Source organism: Homo sapiens, chromosome 1 (assembly GCF_000001405.40).
Source record: "Homo sapiens chromosome 1, GRCh38.p14 Primary Assembly".
Lineage (NCBI taxonomy): Eukaryota > Metazoa > Chordata > Mammalia > Primates > Hominidae > Homo > Homo sapiens.
In genome coordinates this window covers 65290742-65310795 of record NC_000001.11, presented here as the reverse complement: position 1 = coordinate 65310795, position 20054 = coordinate 65290742, and the positions used below count along the sequence as shown (strand labels likewise).

Below are 20054 nucleotides of genomic sequence, written 5' to 3'. Positions count from 1 at the left end.
AAGCAAATAGCTATAATAATACTCCTAGTCCAACATGGATATATTAAATGACTGTTTTGCTATTGAAATCGCAAATGCCAACAGCAGTTCCAAGAGAGGACTCTAACTTGCCAAACCTTTTATAAAAGACAGTTGCAAGCCCCGATACAAAGTTTAGAGGAATTTCCTTGTCCCTACATGTAAAGGTTTATGAAATCTGTACACTCAAGCAAAAGGACAAACAAGATCAAAGCCAACACATGAAATAAATTTCATTGTGCAAACAGTAAAAGCTGTGTAAAAGAGCTCTAGATCCCAGGTTAAAAACTGCAGGAGAAAGGTAACATTAACCCTAGCAGACGGCTGAGTTAAGATGTGGCAGAGCTTTACAGAATTGCAAATAGCATCAGCATTGCAAGAATAACAATTGGAATAAATACCGTCTGCATGCTGCAAAAACAATCAACGCACATGCTCCTTCACCTCTCCCCCTCATCCAGCTGGGCAGTGAAAGCAGCTGCCTCTCCCAGCCCTCCTCCCAAGCCGTTCTTCGCCCCACCCGCTCCCCTCTCTTCTCCACCCCTCCCCTCCTCCTTCCCTCCCCCTCCCCGCCCCCAGCTGCCGTATTCAGCAGTCTAGAGAGATTAGGAGGAGCTCGCTACAGTCTCTGGGCCTCAGGACTGATCTAACGTTTCGTAGCTCCCTGGATGAGAGAAATTAGAGACTCGACACCCAGGTGGTATTAGAAGCCTTCGCCTCCAGCCCGGCTCTCTCGCAAACCGGGGCTGGGGGACCACGGGGGGGCCTCGGGCCGGGCGACTGGGAGGCTCCGGAGGCCGCGCGGGGCTCAGCGCTGCACTCCCCTCGGGCAGCGCTACCTGAGCTGTCCATGGTGCTGGCGCGGTCCGGAGGCTGTCGGGCGGGACTCCGCGCCGCTGCCCCGGCGTTCACTCTCTGCTTGCCGCCAACCCCGCCGCTTCCCGCACTTAAGTCCCCGTTACTGTCCACCAGCTGCAAAGATTCATAACCATCGTTGCTGGTCTTTTTCCGGTAGCTCCCGAGGAGGCTCATGGGCAAGCCCGGAGAAAAGAGAAAATAATCAACCTGGGAAGCGAAAAGGGAGATGGAAGGTGGAAAGGGCTGAAGAAGGAATTAAAAAAAAAAAAAAATTAAGTGCCCGACATGACGCAAAGAGGAGGGAAAAGAAGGAGCGGCCACCGGAGAGAAGCTTCGCCGGGCGAGGCGAAGCCGCCGCCCTGGGCTGAGCTCGGCTCGGGGCGCCGGGAGGAGGGAGGGAGGGAAGGAGACGCGGCCGGGCGGGGGCGCGCGTCCTCTGGGCCAACGCCGCGGAGCCGCCCGGCCCTGCCGAGCTCCGGGCCCCAGGCCAGCACCTCCTGGCTGAGGAGTGCCCGGAAGCAATCCTATAGGTGTCGCCGCGTCGCCCCGCCGCGCAGCAGGGCAGCGCCAAAGCCGCTGGCCCGCGGGGAGGGAAGGAAAGGGAGGTAGGAAGGGAGGGGAGGTTCGTGAGGAGGGGGGTTGAAGGGAAACGGGGCGGGGTGGTCGGGGGAGGGGACTACTACGACGTGGGTTGGGAGGGTGTGTTCGCACGCGTGTGACAGAGAAGAAAGGGGCGAGGTATCTCGGCCTGCGAAGCTTTGAGGACCAGGGGTCTTGTGGTAAAATCCAGACACACCCATTTCATGCAACTTAGCCTATTTTCACCGGAAGATTCCGCCAAAGCCACCAGGACGGTAACCGTCCTAGAGAACTGACTTGTAACTCAATTCAACAGAAAAAGAATGCATGTTAAGTGCCAGAATATATCTATGCTAGGATATAAAGGAAGAGCAATATTTTGCACATTCTCCAGAATAGGGATGATCCCTAAGGGAGATATCAAAGAGTTGGGTATTCTAATACTAGGAGGCAGCGTCCGTTCTGCCTAGAGAGCAGATGTGACTGTTTAGAACTCTTTGTTGAGCGAATAAACTGGGGAGAAGGGCAAGGTTAAGTCCGACGCATTTTCAGATCCGCCACCATTTACCTTAGGACCTGGAGAAAAGACTGTTTCAGTTAGCTAGCTTGAAGGCCTGCTTGGGAAGCAAGATAGACAAGGATTTTTTTTCCCCATCCTCTAGCCTCACGCCTTATTTTTCTTTCACAATTCTGGCCAAAGAAAGCAGTAACTCATAATCAGAAGAGAATTTATCATGAAGTTAATTAAGCTGTGTACCTAATTTTGTATCTGTCATCGTGTATTCTTAAAAGAAGACTCCGACATTGTATAAGTTCTGGATCTGAACAAAACCTGGATAAACTCTGGTAAGTCTTAAAATGTAATTATCGAATGTTTATTTTCACCTAAAATAATAAGATTTCAGAAGGATTGCTCATTCTCATCATCTTAGGTCAAGATCAAGTAAGTCTTGGTTAAAAATTATCATTTTCTCTACTAAAACTTGGAGGGACTAAGTGAGGCGCCCGTCAAGAGTCATTTGACAGAGTTTCCTCACCAAAACAGGAAAAAAGTACGTGCATGTAAAATGTACTTGAGCCCATACACAAAGCCAGCTTTGCTTTCTTCTCATCTTACATGGTTTTCTCTTGCTGTCCTTATATCAATCACCTAAGGACACAAAATCAAACAATAGCATCTAAGAGACTTCAGTCCAGATGATTTGGGTCTCAGAAAGTTTCCGGGAAGCTCTAGCTCTACACAGTTCTACATAAAATAAATTGGACTAAGAGACATTTTCCTGTACAAGGATCACCCAAACACAGATTCTTGTAGGAAGAGCATCAACCAGAAGAAGTCCAAAGAAATGTTTTCTAAATCCTTCCAGTCCTTCTGGGGAAACCTAAACTTCCTGGCCAGTTGCTTTCCCAACTGCATTCTTTGATGAGGTATGGTGTGACCTGAATTGCAAATCAGAGTTAATGCTCATTTATAACAAGATCAAACAATCTGAATGGTGGCAGGAAAAACTGCAATAAAAATTTTAAAACAAATTTTTATACTTTCAATTTTCCAAATCTGTCAGATTGAATTATTTTAGTTACTTGACTAAAGTAATAATTCTGTGAAGTCTAGTAAATCTTTTCCCATAACATCTTAAATAATCTTTCTCTGTACTTTTTCTTTTAATTCATTACAGACACACAGGGACAGTAAATACCTAGTGTTCATCATGTGCCCTGACAAATGCTGGACTATAATCATTGGATTAATAGAATTTAGAACCAGCCTCAGTGACAGACTGAGACCCTGTCTCAAAAAATAAATAAATAAATACAGGATCATTTTTGAAAAGTGAAAATTATTATTTTCAAAAAGAGCACTTTCAGTTATTTTTGCTCAACTTGCAGACATATTGCTGAAAGAAATTATAGATGAGACATATGCCTTTGTATTTTTCAATATCTATCTCTGGAGTTTGCAAGTGTAAAGAAAAATCTGAATGGGCTATAAGAATTTTATCTTTATACTTAATATAAATAAAGTCAATCAGGATAACTATTAATAATCCTATAAAATTGAAGATATAAGAAGCATATTAAGGCAGGAAAATACAATAACTAGGTTAATTTACAACAGCCTAAAAACTAGGGCTTGGGCCTAAATTTGGATATGCACCAATTTCAACATTAAAATTTTCTTTACTGTGCTAAAGATCAAATTCATATACTTATCAATGAATATCTCACTGTTCTACTCTATAAAACAAGCATAATATGAGTACCATCATTATATAGAAGAATTAGATTAGTACCTAACATATATATATATATATATATATAGAGAGAGAGAGAGAGAGAGAGAGAGAGAGAGAGAGAGAGAGAGAGAAACAGATTGAGAGAGAGAGTAGTACTTAACAATTGTTCTCTATTACCATTATTGGTCTGTCTTGGGTGCAGCTTTAAGCTCAGCGCCTGGCAGTCTTAGTTTTTCAAATGGGAAAAGCTCAATAAAGGCTAAATATTATTTTTTCCAGGGATATCCTAATGGAAAATTGTCTTTGTAACTTTGAATGAGAATTTGGGCTTAAGGGAGGTGGCACTGGTCAAACACAAGGTGAACATTTACAGCCTAACTCTTGGTTTTCCAAACTCAAGACTACTTCATAACTTATCTCAAAAATACTACATCATACATGAGACAACGGCAAAGGATAAGATGCCCTCTTCTGGGGACAGCAATCATTCCCTTTGTCTTTTCTCTTGCTGCCTTCAGGTGCTTTATTAACTTGATGAAGATTAGTGACACTGAGGAATACTGAGGAACCAGGCTCTATTCCACCCCATCCCCTTCATACACACCTCATTCCAAATGCTATCCTGTCACAGCAGATGCCACATCACTTTTGGGGTGGGCTAAGAGATCAAGGTATGTATGCCATGACCTATGTAGGATTTTGATCTGTGATTTTCATTTCCAGAGAATATAATACATTGATTAAAATTGAAGTTGCCAGCCAGGTGTGGTGGCTCACACCTGTGGTCCTGGCACTTTGGGAGGCTGAGGTGGGCGGATCACGAGGTCAGGAGATTGAGACCATCCTGGCTAACACGGTGAAACCCTGTATCTACTAAAAATCCAAAAAAATAACCAGGCGTGGTGGCAGGCACCTGTAGTCCCAGCTACTCAGGAGGCTGAGGCAGGAGAATCGCTTGAACCCAGGAGGTGGAGCTTGCAGTGAGCCAACAAAGCGAGACTCTGTCTCAAAAAAAAAAAAAAAAAAATTGAAGTTGCCTATGATTGATTCTTAGTTCCAATGACTCCTGGCTCTATGACTTTGGGCAAGTTACTTAACCTCTCTGCCTCATTTTTCTCCTCTGTAAAGTGAGGATTATAGTAATGCCATCATAATAAGGTTATAGTAAGAAGTAAATTAGTTCCTAACATATAATAAGTGCTTAACATATGCTATCTATTATTACTATCATTCCACTTCTTTTTAAAATGTCACTTTTTCAAAAATGCAACTTCCCATCTGTAAAATTAAGTTTAAATCTGCCCAGCTTACCTAAGAGATTTGTTATCATTATGACTATGATAACATAAAAGCAGTTTGTCAAATGTGAACTGATTGTTTTGCCCTGAGTTTTTAAATATTCACGTGTATGTATTTCCTATTGGATTTGGACTCTTTGAGGGCAAAAATCCATGTTTTGTTCATGTTTGTGTCCCCCATGACACTCCAAAGAGCACCTCGCTCTCATTAGATATTGAGTAAATATCTACTGAATTAATGAATAAACAAAAATGTCATGGCATTACCTAGTCCAGTGATTTAAACTATATGCTGTAGCCGATGAGTAAATTATAAAGTATTTTCATAAAAATGAAATAGGTTGGAAAACATCAGAGTTTGGAACGCAGTAAGATATTGTTTCTTAAAATATTGTTTTGGGTTTGTGTGATATGTATGAGTGTGTGTATGTTTCTGCTCAGTAATGATATAAATGTATTTCTCACTGTGTGTCCTGATTATAAATGTTTTTGAATGTCTATGTTATGGGACAATCTCTGGTACTAAGAGGTCCTAGTGTTCCCAATTATGAATGTCCTATACACTGTGACATCTGAATTCATTTGGCTAATTGGACCACAAAGAGTTTTGGCTAAGCAGACAGTAAATGAAGCCAGAGCTTCTACTCTGTTCTCTCTGTTACAAAATATATTATGATCAGGTTTCTAAAATGCGTCTCTTCAATTTTCTGTTTTAACAAACATAAATCAATGCACAGTATTGAAACTTACTTTGGCAATGTGCCTGAGGGCCATAATCCAGATTATCTCCTTATTGAATAAGGCCTATAGATATACATAGTGCAAGGCACTTCAACTGGGGAACATCAAGCCATCTCTGACTCCCAGATGTGTTTTGTCGGTCCTGTACTTCTTAAAATGAAAAACATTTTAGTTTAGATGCCTTTACAGAGGGTATATAGGCTCCAGTCTGAGGACCATAGTTCACTACTACTTCCCAATGTAGAATACTCAGCCTCCTCCACTCATTCCTATTACCAGTTAGCCCTTGCAGGCATTTGAGTTTGAGACCTGCAGTGTAGTGGCAAAACCTTAAGGAGAAATACCCCCAAGAGAGATGCCAAAAGACACATCTTTAGGCCACAGTCCAGAAGAAAGCAAAATAGACCGAGAATCCTCTCCTGACTCTGCTCTTAATCAGCAGGGTGGCCTTGATCCATTCTCCTTCTCTCAGCAGTAAAATCGAAGATGTGGAATTACATGATTCTCTTCAGTTCTCAAAACTTTAGTTGTCACTTCCCTCTCTCCTCCAAATGATGTCCATAGGGGAAAACCATAGTCATTTAAGTGCTACAGTTTGCTGTGTCCCAGTTAATCAAGGTTTTGCTATAGAAATGCATGCATAAATAGTAGCAGCTGTCAAGAGCGACATATAAAGCAACACACAAGATAGAAGAGGAGGTCTGCTGGAAAAAATCGGGTGAGCTGATGGATGACATTTAACAGAAGAAAATCTGAACTATTCCTATAATGTTTCTTAGGAGTGGGGATATCTGTTCTTGGTGTTTGATGGGGTTCTGGGTCTTCCAGAAAATAGGACAAATTTCCCAGGTAGGGCTTTTTTTTTTTCTTTAAGATAACCCAATATCATGAAACCTGTGTTTCCTTGATGCTCTAATAGTAACAAAATAACTGCCATTGATTATTTATCATTTGCCAGGTGCCTTACCTACCTTAAATCTAAAGATTTTATTCTTATTTTGAGGCAGACTTGGAGAGGTTAAGTAACTGGCCCAGGGTTACACAACAATCAGTTAGGATTCAAACCTCCATCTTTCTGATCATGCTTTGGCCACTGAGGCAGCCTAAAGAGGCAATTCCACTGATCAAAGTGAAAGCTGAAGGACATTTAGGTCATTCCTTAGATCTGACCTGCCTTACTAAGTGTGGTCAGTGGAAAATGGTTTGGGCAACTTATGGAAATTGCACTTTGGGAGGCTGAGGCAGGCAGATCACCTGAGGTCGGGAGTTCGAGACCAGCCTGGCCAACATGGTGAAACCCCGTCTCTACTAAAAAACAAACAAACAAACAAACAAAAAATTAGCTGGGCATGGTGCCACGTGCCTGTAGCTCCAGCTACTCAGGAGGCTGAGGCAAGAGAATCACTTGAACCTGGGAGGCAGAGGTTGCAGTGAGCCGAGATCATGCCACTGCACTCCAGCCTGGGTGACAGAGGGAGACTCCGTCTCAAAAAAAAAAAAGAAGAGAGAATCAAATGAGGCGCATGGAAGCACATAATAAACACTAAAGCCCTAAATACTGCATGTTATCAAATCTAAGAAACCATCCATTTTAAGTCACAACATAAGAAAAATATGCTACTAAAGAAAGTATGACATACTATCAATCTTAAGATACCCCAAGATTTCTTAAATGTTAATATGTTAAAAAACTTTTATAACCGATGTAACAAATGTTATTATTTGACCGTATATTAGTCTGAGAATATATTTGTCAATTTATTATTCACGTATTTTGAGCAACTCTGGCAGGTGAAGACAACACCCATCATGTTTTATGAGGTCTAGCACAGTGCCTGCCAAGTAATAGGTGTTCAGTAAGTATCTGCTAATTGAATGAAAATACCAAAAAACTTTATTTTGGAAGCCATCTTTAGTTTACAGAAAAAATCGCTCTGGTTTCTTTAATGAGCTCACTTAAAAAACACATTTCCATTTGCTAACATTTAACTTATCCTTGACTTTTCAAGGACATGCTCATAGTATAACAACGTTTGCCTTAGTTCATTTTGTGCTGCTATAATAGAATACAGGAGACTGGGTAATTCACAAAGAGCAGAGATTTATTTCTTACAGTTTCTGGGGCCAGAAAGTCCAAGATCAAGGAGCCTACATCTGGTGAGGGCCTTCGTGCTGCATCATCCCATGATAGAAGGCAGGAAGGCAAGAGAGGATAAGAAAGGAAGAGACAGGCCGGGCGCGGTGGCTCACGCCTGTAATCCCAGCACTTTGGGAGGCCGAGGCGGGTGGATCATGAGGTCAGGAGATCGAGACCATCCTGGCTAACAAGGTGAAACCCCGTCTCTACTAAAAATACAAAAAATTAGCCGGGCGCGGTGGCGGGCGCCTGTAGTCCCAGCTACTCGGGAGGCTGAGGCAGGAGAATGGCGTGAACCCGGGAAGCGGAGCTTGCAGTGAGCCGAGATTGCGCCACTGCAGTCCGCAGTCCGGCCTGGGCGACAGAGCGAGACTCCGTCTCAAAAAAAAAAAAAAAAAAAAAAAGAAAGGAAGAGACAGCAAGGGGGTTAAGGGGGAGGCAAACTCCCTTTAATCAAGAGTGCACTCCCATAGTAATGGCATTAATCCATTCATGAGGGTGGACCCCTTATGGCCTAATCACCTGTTAATGGTACCACCTATTACTGTCAGAATGGCAATTAAATTTCAACATGAGTTGTGGAGGGGATATTCAAACCACAGCAATGTTATACTGTAACATATATATTATATATATTATATATTATATTATATAATATATAATATATATAATATTATATATTAATATATCAATATAATAGTATATTATATTGATATAATATATTAATGTATATATTAACATAATATATAAATGTATAATATAATATATAATAAATATATATAATACGTATTATATATATTTTTTATATATATATATATATTATATATTATATATATAATATATATAATACGTATTATATATAAAATCCACAGTTCCTGTATAACTCCCATAGCCCTCGACATAGTAAACAAAACCTCTTTCTCTTTCTCTCCCTCTCTCTCTCTCTCTCTCTGATGTTCTACCTCCCTACTTTCACCTGTCCAAGGCAGGACTCTTATCTGATTGTGGGTCATAAGACCCTCATCCCAGAGGGTGTCCTGCCCCATCCCTGGGGGAAGAAATGCTGCACAGAGAAGACAAACAGAGTCTAAACAGGCCTTATTGGGTTTAGATCATATACTTTTTGTCCATGAATCACATTTTAACACAGTTGTCCATGCTTCAATCATGCCTACCCAATGAAGTCTTCATACAAGGCCCAAGAGGACAGGGTTTGGGGACCTTCCAGATAGCTAAGTGGAGGTTCCTGGAGGATGGTGCACCCAGAGAGGGCATGGCAGCTTGGCATCCCTTTCCTTGTATCTTTGTAATATCCTTTATTATAACCCAATAAACGTGTTTCCCTGAGTTCTGTGAGCCGCTCCAGCAAATTAATCAACCCAAAGAGGGGATCATGGGAACCCAAACTTGAATCTGGTCGATCAGAAGTTTTAGAGGCCCAGACTTGCAACTGGTGTCTGAAAGTGGAGGTGGTAGGTTGGGGGAGCAGTTTTGGGGACTGTGTCAGTGGTATCTGACACTTATCTCCTGGTAGATAGTTTCAGAATTGGAGGACACGCAGCTGGTGTCCACTGCAGAATTGATTGTTTGTTTGTGGGGGGGGAAGTGCCCATTTGATCACAGAAGCCTTTAATTTGTGTTGATTTTTGTTGTGAGAAAATAAGAAAAGGCACTTTGAGTGTGTTTTTCCACACACAGATACACCTACATTACCATTTCAAGAGCAACTCATGGAAGCATCAGTCCTTTTCATCTGTCATTTTACAAGTAGGAAAACTTCAGCTTCTCAAGTGGGCTGGTTCTGTGATCGACTTCTCTCAGTCTTGAAGAAAACACTGGAAATTTTTATGTGGTAAATAGTTTCCCAAAGTCAGCTGCAAACCAACACTGAAGTGAAAGTTTTCCTAAATCCTGGATAGTCCCATGTTTGGCCCTGAGCCCATTATGTGTGATTTTATGTTCAAGATCCTTAAAATCTGGATGCTTCATTTTGCAACCCCATTGTACCTAACAGGGTGCTGGGCCATAGAGGATGTAGAACTTGGGGCAAATCCTCTAAGATGGTGATGCAGAAGGCAGTCACCACCCCAGACACAGGTGGAACAAATTCTTAGGGTGCTGAGTCTCCAGAGCACCAAATCACTGCTGCTCACTTGACAACATCTAATTAAAGGGAAGGAACTAGCATTTTCTGAACACTAAACTAAGTGCATGGGTTTTTCATGTATTTATCCATTCGAATGTGAAAGGTTTCGTGAGAAGGATTACCATACCCAAAGAGATAAAACTCTGGAATGCAGCTGAGTGTGGGCTAAGCAGTGATTGCTAGTGATCCTCAATGTTGCTCTCCATCTTCTATGCTTCTGTGCCCTTTAGCTGGGCATGTGGCCACATAGTATAAATATTTTTCAGTCTCTTTCATGTCTTGGACCTGCCACATGCAAGTTTTCTGTAATCTACTAGATGCATACATAGGACTAAGTTGTAGCCATTGTAATTATAAGCAAAAATAATATGTGCAATTTCTGGTATGGATCCTTAAAAAGGAGGGTAGGTGGTATGTCCTTCCAATCCTTCTCCCTTTCTTCTAGTTGGAATATGGAGCTCCAGCAGGTACTTGGACCATGAGTTAACCTTGAGGGTGGAAGACATTCACAATGAAACAGTAAAATAGAAGAACCCCGAGCTCCAGAGAGCCCTAGCAACCCTAGACTGATTACCTCTAGATTACTTAGAGGTGAGAGAAAAACAAACTACTTAGTTATTATTTTGCCACTGTTATTTTGCTTTTTTCTGTTATGTGCATCCAAACTAACTGGGGTACAACCTACCACCATTAACCACTGGATTTCAGACTTTTTTTCTTTTTTTTTTTTTTTTTTTTGAGATGGAGTTTTCACACTCTTGTTGCCCAGGCTGGAGTGCAGTGGCGCAATCTTGACTCACCTCCCGGGTTCAAGCAATTCTCCTGCCTCAGCCTCCCAAGTGGCTGGGATTACAAGCACACACCACCATGCCCAGCTAATTCTTTTGTGTTTTTAGTAGAGACGGGGTTTCAGCATGTTGGCCAGGCTGGTCTCAAACTCTTGACCTCAGGTGATCCGCCTACCTCGGCCTCCCAAAGTGCTGGGATTGCAGGCATGAGCCACCGTGCCTGGACACTTTCAGATATTTATTTACAAAAATATTTACTGGGAATTACAAGTTCATGTGGTCATGGACAAATTTGATAACCTCTAAACCTGTGTTTTCTCATCCATAAAATACTAATAAAAACAGGGTAGTTATTAAAATTGCATAACATAAAGTACATAAAGAGCTTAGCATAAGGCCTGGCATATAGTGAGGGTTCAATGAATGCTATCTATTGTGTTATTTGTCATTGTCCTTCAACATAGCTCAGTCTATTGTGTCTGACTCCAAAGCCAGTGATCACTCCATCTCATCCTGCTATCCAGAGACTGCCTTTCAGGACAGACCCAGCCCAGAGCTGTGGACCCCTGACTCTGTTACCAGTGAACTCCCTAGTACAGCTATCCCTTCCTTTGCGTGTAATTCTCTTTCTTTGATCTACTTGCATGATCTCAATACAGTCTAGAATATTTTAAGCCATTAAAGGTGATACAGAGCTTTAAGCAAAATGTCAGTGTTATGACACAGTGGTTCTGAGACTATTAGCTTCAATATGGCCAAATGAGAGAGTCTGACTTATTTTCCATTTGTGCTAAAAGAAAACTTAGGTAATAAGTGGGGGTATTTTTATTTTATTATTCTATCTTTTTACTTTCTATTAGGGAAATTTTCAAACATATTCAAAAGTAGGGAAAATCATATAATGGACTTCTTTGTATGTATCACTCAGCATCAATACTTATCAAGTTGGTCCATTTCTCCATCATCCGGGAAAGACATTAGTGTTGATGCTGACATCCCTGTCAAGGACAATAACTACCATGGCTCTCAGTGCCTTGGTGTAACCTGGGATGTGTGGCCTTCTGGCCAAGCATCTGTCATTTCATATTGTTGGAGCATTCCTTATAACCCTGGGGTTGCAGCTCTCTGTAAGTTTGCTGTGGCCTGACCAAGAAAGAAGGCATATGCAGATTTCTACAGAAATTATAATTGAATTAAAGAATTTGAGATGAGGAAGGCTAATATCTCTCAGAGTACAAAGTGATTTTGGAACATAAAGTATTTCTTTGGGTTGAATTACATAGAAGTTTGTCACTGTACCTGTGTTCCTGAACTATCTGTGAAACATGAATATGTGGGCTAAGAAATTGTTTATCTTAATAAATAATTAACAAACACTTTGAACGGTTAAAAAAAAAAAGTCATGGTCAGTCTTTTTTCATATGTATAGACCCCTAACTACTACCGTTAAGCAAATTCCAGACTTCATAATTTGGGGGAAGTAACTATCAGATTTCATCTGTACTAGAATTGTGGCAAAGTACCATTCCACCTGCTTGCTGAGAGGCCAAAGCTATTTCCTAACCAGTTTCTCTTCAGGAGACTGTCAAAGGAAACTGCATACCTTCCCATTTCCTTTTTTCCCAGTAAAAACAACACATCATTCATTCAGCTTCTTGTCCTCACCTCACCTCCCACCTTCACCCACCCTAGACCCACAAAACTTGCCTCATTTTCAAGTACTAGTTGTAATCTTAGGCCTTGCTGCCCAACAGATCTCAAAATCAGCATGGAAGTAACGTAATCATCCAACTAGTTCACCTTGCCCACTGCCCAGATAAGAGCCAATTTATCAAGACAGGGGAATTGTAATAGAGAAAGAGTGTAATTCACACAGAGCCAACTGAATGGGAGATCAGAGTTTTATTACTCGATTCAGTCTCCCTGGAAAATTCAGACACTAGGGTTTTTTTTAAAGGATGATTTGGCACGTAGGGGGAGCCAGGGAGTGGGGAGTGCTGATTGATTGGGTCACAGATGGAATCATAGGGGGTTAAAGTGGGTTCTTCTTGCTGTCTTCTGTTCCTGGGAGGCACTGCAGAACTGGTTGTGCCAGATTACCAGTCTGGGTGGCGCCAGCTGGTGCCTCAGAATGCAAGGTCTGAAAAACATCTCAGACCAATCTTAGGTTTCACAATAATGATGTTACCCCAAGGAGCAATGGGGGAGGTTCAGAACTTGCAGCCTCCGGCTACAGGACTCCTAAACCTACATTTCCAATCTTGCAGCTAATTTATTAGTCCTACATGGGCAGTCTGGTTTCAGGCAAGAAGGGCTGTTATCATCTTTGTTTCAAGGTTAAACTAAGTTCCTCCCAAACTTAGTTCAGCCTGCGCCCAACAATGAACAAGGGCAGCTTGAAGGTTAGAATAGCAAAATGGAGTCATTAAGTCAGATCTGTCACTGTCATAATTTTCTCACTGTTATAATTTTTGCAAAGGCAGTTTCATTAAGTTTTGCCAAAATAGGAGAAATGTATGGACTACTAAAGCTGGACAGAGTTATAAAGGGTAGACTATCCCTTTCAATTTAAAGATAAGAAAATCAAGACAGAAAAATGAAAAAATTGATTCACATCTCAGCTTTCTAAAATGCAGATCTAATTATGTGACTCAGTTGCTTAAAACTATTCAAGGGTTTCCTATCACCCTCAGTCAAAGGTAGTCAGCATAATGGACTCTGCATTCTAGGACCAGCTAATTTCCCTCAAGACTCAGCCCTCAGCCTTCACCACTTCCCCCTTCCCAACCTCTTTCTAAGTCCAGACAAAGAGCTTTGTTGTGATCCCCCACCTGGCCAATCCCAGCCTGCCCTTCAGATCCCTAAATGGACAGCATGTCCCAGGAAACCATCCAATTTCTCAAAACCACGTTTGATATCATTTTATGAGGTCCCATAGAACAGTCTACTTCTTCTAACATAGCACTTACAACATGCTACACTGAAATTGCCTGTTTACATGTATGACTTCCCACACCAGACTGTAAGCTCCATGATAGCAGAACCATATTTGGTACCTAACTCCATGCCTGACACAGGGTAGATGCCTGATAAAGATGTGCTGAATGAGGCTGGGCGTGGTGGCTCACTCCTGTAATCCCAGCACTTTTGGAGGCCGAGGCAGGTGGATCACGAGGTCAGGAGTTCAAGACCAGCCTGGCCAACATGGTGAAACCCCGTCTCTAATAAAAATACAAATAATTAGCCAGGCGTGGTGGCGTGCGCCTTTAATCCCAGCTACTCAGGAGGCTGAGGCAGAGAATTGCTTGAACCCAGAAGGTGGATGTTGCAGTGAGCTAAGATCGCGCCACTGCACTCCAGCCTGAGTGACAGAGCTAGACTCCGTCTCAAAAAAAAAAAAAAAAAAAGATGTGTCGAATGAATGAATAACTACTGCCACTGGGCAGAGTCAGTCAACAACCTATGAAAAGATGTTCTACGCTGTTTAGCACCCAATGAAGGTTAGTTAGCCTTTGTACTTATTACTGATTAAGGTCACAGAGCTACATATAGGAGACTGGTTTTCTGACCAGTCCGGGTCAGAGTTCTCAGCATTCCATCACACTGCTTAATATGAATTCAGCCAATAAAGTTGTCACTTACTTCTACTTTCCATTTCTACTGTATTAAAGTAGACAAACAGATTTGTAGCCTATTGCAATTATTTTAGTTGAAAACTTTGACTTTATTTTTGATCCGAGTAGGAGACTGACAAACTCCAGACCATTTTTCTGAAAGACTTACAGATCATCATTTTTTAAAATTCCCTTTGGCTATATTTTATTTATGAATAACAGAGTATGACTCTTTCATCTTTGCCTCTGAAATCTCTATGCCCATGTGGTATAGACTATAGGGAACCATGTGTTGGTGAAAAATAAGAAGTTTTCAAAAGAAGGCAGAAGACTGCAAATTACAAAAAGGAAATGTCCAAGTAGTGGTAACTATGTCTTAAGCTCATGGTACAAAGATAATGATAGCAGTGCTTTTCTAACGCCTTTATAGCCTTGGTCACAAGATTGGAGAGCATAGTGGTGTTGGTTTTCAATTCCATAAGGATTTACTGAGTATTACCATGGGGCCAGTTCCCTTGTCCTCAATCTATCTTAACTTTCAATGGGAAGCAATGATAGGAGGAAAAAAATAGCAAAGACCTATTAAATAATTCAGTAAAACTTAAGTCGACACAAACCCCATTTACTAGAACTTTCTCAGTGTGGTAGTTAAGAACATGGGCTTTGGAGATGGACAGACCCAGACTTCCAGCCTGGATATTTGAACTTGAATGAAATACATAACTTTTCTGAGTCTCAGTTTCTCATTTGTTCATTGAGGTACTACCCTACTGATTGGCTGTACATATTAAATTAGCTAGAGTAGCTATAGTGTACATTTATTCTTTTATCAACCAAGAAGAATGGTCCCTTTTTCTGGGAAATTCTCTTCTGTGGTTGGGTTAGAGCTGCCATAGCCCAGGGATAGGTACCTATAACCAAGCTAGGTCAACCATGGCTTTTTCACAGGACTTTTCCATTTAAAACCAGAAAGAGCAAGTCTGAGTCTATCCTTCCCTAGAGCAAAGATGACACACAGAGGTTGAAGGAGCCATTCTTTCTGACATATGGAGACAAGTGATCTGAGAGAACAATGCTGCTGAGGAGGGAGAAGTAAATTTGAGAGAGGAAGATAGGTATATAGGAAAAACAGTGTTTATATTCTAGAAATTCAGGAGACCCAGATGCACTCCCATGCTTCATACAATTACAAGATCCCCCTTTTTCAATTTAGTTAATTCAGATTGCATCTCTGTCACTTGTAATCAAAGGAATCCTGCCTAATACAGTACTTAACACAATGCCTGCATCACTGTAGCTCAATACACTGAAGTTATTATGATTTCCTCACATAATTGGATTAGCACTTCCATCCCTACTTCTCTATAACACATAAAAAGAAAAACTTCAGATGCCTAAATAAAAGCTTACATTATAAATGTAGCAAAAATAATAAGCATCATGCTACCACTTAGAATCCTTACATATTCAACTAAACCTCCTATACTTTTTTTCTGGCTATAACTAACATTTATGCTGTACTCTATATTGTACAGAGAACATTTTTTAAGCAAAACATTGTCCAGCAGAAATATAATGTGAGCCATATGTGTAATATTTTAATTTCCAGCAGCCAAAATAAATTTTTACAAGTGAATTTAAAAAATAAACAAGTGAATTAATTTTAATAACACTTTATTTAACTCAATGGGTACAATATATTGCCATTTCAACATGTAATCAATAAGATATTTTATATATTTTTCCACCTAAGTGTTCAAAATCTACTGTGTATTTTATACTTACAGCACATCTCAATTGGACTAGCCACATTTCAAATGCTCAATAGCCACTTATAGCCAGTGGCTACTACATCAGACAGTGCAGATATAAAATGCTGTAGTCAATCTTCACACCAATTTTAAGAAGATTGAAGCTTTTGTAATTACAGATGATAAAATTGAACTCAAAAAAATTAAGTGATTTTTTTTTCATAGTCAACAACTAATCAGTCCCAAGCCCAGGATCAAACTTTGGCCTTTGCCCTCTACATTTTCTGCTTCTTATTTATGTTACCCATACAATAAGAACTGATGTTCAACATGATCCTGAAATACAGCCAAATCAAACAAATACATAAATAATGACATGACTTCACCTATAAAATGGAAAGACTGGATTGGTGGGCAATAGGTACAAGGATTTATCTTCTGTATTTTCTGTTATAGTTCACAAGTCAGGTTTCAAGAGAAAAATGGGTATTGCTGATATGTCTTAACCATTATCATTTTCTCTGAACCTTTTCACAAAGTCCTTTCATTGCTTTTTCTTTGTAGCAACAAATGAATTCCTTGTTTTGATGCAAATTAACCCTGCAAATTAACAAGAAACTTGTTTTTTAGTTAAGATAACTGAGTGAAAGTGCTTAGCACAATGCCTGGAACATAGTAATTTATGTTGATTTCCTTTGCATCATAGGGTAAACATGTTTTCAAGGAAAATTTAATACCTGGGAAAATACACTAATAGAACATAAGTTTGATTCTAAATGAAAATTATATTCTTAAAAGCAATCTGCCTCTGTATGTGTACAGACAAAACTATGCCTCTGTACGTGCATATCTGCCCCTATTTGTGCATAGACCAACATATTAACAATAATTAGCTCTTGATAATGGTATTAGAAATGACTTAAAGTAGATGTTTATTTTTGTATGTTATGAAAAAATGTTTGCAAAAATGGCTGCAAACATTCATCCCACTCACCCTCACTTGCTGCCACCCATATCACAATGCAATATTATTTTATATTTCTTCTCACCAAGAGGTAGGGTACACTTCTTCACTCCTTGAATCTGGGCTGGCCTTGTGACTTGCTTTGTACAATAGAGGGTGTTGGGGAGTGTCTGTGTCCCTCCAAAATTCCTATGTTGAAGGCCTAACTCCCAGTGTGGTAGTATTTGGAGATGGGGGCCTTTGGAAGATGATTACGTTTAAATGAGGTTATGTGGGTAGGGCCCCCATCATGGGATTAGTGTCCTTATAAGGAAAAGAAGAAACACCAGAGCATGTGCTCACTGTCTCTCTGGCTCTCTCTCACACACACCCCATCTACCCCCATGTGAGGACTCAATGAGAAGACAGCAAGCAGCCTTCTGCAAGCCAGGATAAGGGTCCTCATAGCAACTGAATCTGCCAGCACCTTTATCTTGACTTTCCCAGCCACCAGAATGGTGAGATATAAGTGTGTGTTGTTTATGCTATCCAGTCTATGATGTTCTGTGACAGCAGCCTGAGCTGACTGAGGCAGAGGGGAAGTACTGTTTTACCAGCTCCAGACACAGGCCCAAGAGCATTGTGGATTTCTGCTTGCTCTCTTGGCTCCTCTTCTCCTTCTCCAAGAGAACAAGCCCAAGCTAGTCTGCTGTAGGATGGGAGGCCACATGGAGGAGCTGATCCTGACATCCCAGCTGATGCCTCATACGTTTGAGTGAGCCCCAATGACAACAGCTGAGGTTGGCCCAGACTGGAAGAACTGCCCTCTGAGCCCATTTAAATTACTGCCAGCAGAATTGTGACCTGAATGTATGCTGTCTTAAGCCACTAATTTTGGGGGTGGTTATCTCAACACAGTGTAAAATAATAAAAATAAAAAATAAAAAAACTGGCTGGGTCTAATGGCTCACACCTATATTCCCAGTACTTTGGGAAGCCAAGGCAGGAGGATCACTTGAGCCCAGGAGTTTGAGACCAGCCTAGGCAACATGATGAGACCCCATCTCTACAAAAAAAAATTAAAGAAAATAGCCAGGCATGATGGTGTGTGCCTGTGGTCCCAGCCACTCAGGAAACTGAGGCAGGAGGATTGCTTGAGCCCAGGAAGTCGAAGCTGTAATGAGCCACATTCATGCCACTGCACCCCAGCCTAGGCAATACACCAAGACCCTGTCTCAGGAAAAAAGAAAAAAGTTTGGGGTGGTTTATTATGTAGCAAAACCTAAATTAATACAAACGTGTTTTCCAGAGTTTCTACAATGAAAAGCGTAATATTCATTAAAAAAAAAAAACAAAAAAAAAAAACCAGGCCGGGTGCGGTGGCTCATGCCTGTAATCCCAGCACTTTGGGAGGCCAAGGTGGGTAGATCATCTGAGGTCAAGAGTTCAAGACCAGCCTGGCCAACATGGTGAAACCCCGTCTCTACTAAAAACACAAATAATTAGCCAGGTGTGGTGGCAGGCACCTGTAATCCCAGCTACTCGGGAGGCTGAGGCAGAAGAATTCCTTGAACCTGGGAGGCAGAGGTTGTAGTGCGTTGAGATCGCGCCATTGTACTCCAGCCTGGGCAACAAGAGCGAAACTCCATCTCAAAAAGTAAAAAGTAAATAAAAAATAAAAACATTTGTAAAGAAGTCAGAAAGAAAGGAAGAACGAAGGAAAGGGAGTGAAGGTGGGAAAAAAGTGACAACGGTGGGAGGGAGAGAGGAAAGTAGGAACGAAAGAAGAAAAGCAAAAACAGATCTGTGTGCAAAAACACAGATCTGGGTACAAATCCTCACTCCACTATCCACTAGTTGTGTTAGTCAAGTTATCCAAAGCTTTTCTATCAAACTTTTCATATCAAACTTTTCTAATATTGCTTACCTCGTAGAATTGCTTTATGAATGATAGGTGATATTTACAGCACCCAGCAGAGTATCTGACCCTTAACAGCACTCAGTACATCTCATACCCCTTCCTCACCTTCTCCTTTTTTCTACACCCAGTAAAACCTGGATTTTTATGGCTCAGCTTTATCCCACTCAAGTATGCAGGGATATAGTTCACATTTTATTTTAAATTCATTTTAATCTCCTTTCCCAGGCAGAACAGGCTAAGTGACTCAAATCCATTTAATTAGGTCCTTCTGCACCTTTAGCTTTGGAGAAAATGTTAAATAATAGGAATGCTATAGATTCATTACTAACTTTCCTTGAATATTTTATTATGAAAATTTCAAACATACCAAAAAAGCTGAAAGAATTTCACATGATGAATATCTACATATCTAATGTATAAATTCAATAATTTGGCTAGGCATGGTGGTTCACATCTGTAATCCCAGCAGTTTGGGAGGCCAAGGTGGGTGGATCACTTGAGTTCAGGAGTTCGAGACCAGCCTGGTCAACATAGTGAAACCCCGTCTCTAATAAAAATACAAAAATTAGCCAGGTGTGGTGGTGTATGCCTGTAATTCCAGCTACTCATGAGGCTGAAGCAAGAGAATCACTTGAACCCAGGAGGCGGTCGTTGCAGTGAGCCAAGATAGTGCCCTGCACTCCAGCCTGGGTGACAAAGTAAGACTCCACTTCAAACAAACAAACAAAAAATTCAATAATTTGAAACATTTTGCAAGTTTGCTTTATCTAGATATTTGGGATTTTATTGTTTTTGCTGAACTTTTAAAGAATGAATTGAGACATTTTACTTCACCTCTTAATTTTTCATGATGCATTTCCTAATGGGGACATTTTCCTACACAACACAAAATTAATAATTCCTTACTGTCATCTAACATCCAATCTATATCTAAGTATCTCCAATTGTCTCTGAAAATGTCTTTGCTAATAGCTGACTTTTTAATAATAGCTAACATTTAGATAGTCATGATGCTTACAACAA

At 40.8% G+C, this 20054-nt stretch overlaps 1 protein-coding gene, 1 long non-coding RNA gene and 1 pseudogene across 9 annotated transcripts in view, besides 2 other annotated features; 2 read left to right on the top strand and 1 right to left on the bottom strand.

Annotated features, from left to right (window-relative positions):
• The window catches only part of DNAJC6 (DnaJ heat shock protein family (Hsp40) member C6), a 151123-nt gene that overhangs the window by 105076 nt on the left and 25993 nt on the right, over nucleotides 1-20054 (bottom strand). The window contains exon 1 of one of the 3 annotated variants that reach the window (NM_001256864.2): nucleotides 858-1253. The exons of the other annotated variants lie outside the window; for them this stretch is intronic. Within the exon in view, the coding sequence (NP_001243793.1) occupies nucleotides 858-1050 (193 nt within the window). The 5' untranslated portion in view covers nucleotides 1051-1253. Of the gene's footprint in view, nucleotides 1-857; nucleotides 1254-20054 lie in introns of those variants that run through there. 3 annotated transcript variants of the gene reach the window in all.
• The window catches only part of DNAJC6-AS1 (DNAJC6 antisense RNA 1), a 31160-nt gene continuing 12517 nt past the window's right edge, over nucleotides 1412-20054 (top strand). For 2 of the 6 annotated variants that reach the window (XR_007066155.1, XR_007066154.1), the window contains exons 1-2: nucleotides 1562-2301; nucleotides 4211-4363. This is a non-coding gene — a long non-coding RNA (DNAJC6 antisense RNA 1). Of the gene's footprint in view, nucleotides 1482-1561; nucleotides 2302-4210; nucleotides 4364-9566; nucleotides 12179-20054 lie in introns of those variants that run through there. The other 4 variants (XR_947466.4, XR_007066153.1, XR_947464.4 and 1 more) reach the window with 4 other exon arrangements.
• Nucleotides 7023-7201: a silencer, noted in NCBI's record as "fragment chr1:65769278-65769456 (GRCh37/hg19 assembly coordinates)". NCBI's record gives its function as "represses an EF-1alpha promoter that drives an FKBP-Casp9 reporter gene in an ReSE screen in K562 erythroleukemia cells {active_cell/tissue: K562}" and the evidence as "EXISTENCE:reporter gene assay evidence [ECO:0000049][PMID:32094911]".
• Nucleotides 11287-11499: a silencer, noted in NCBI's record as "fragment chr1:65764980-65765192 (GRCh37/hg19 assembly coordinates)". NCBI's record gives its function as "represses an EF-1alpha promoter that drives an FKBP-Casp9 reporter gene in an ReSE screen in phorbol 12-myristate 13-acetate-treated (for megakaryocytic differentiation) K562 erythroleukemia cells {active_cell/tissue: K562(+PMA)}" and the evidence as "EXISTENCE:reporter gene assay evidence [ECO:0000049][PMID:32094911]".
• Nucleotides 11816-12041, top strand: COX6CP13 (cytochrome c oxidase subunit 6C pseudogene 13; annotated as a pseudogene).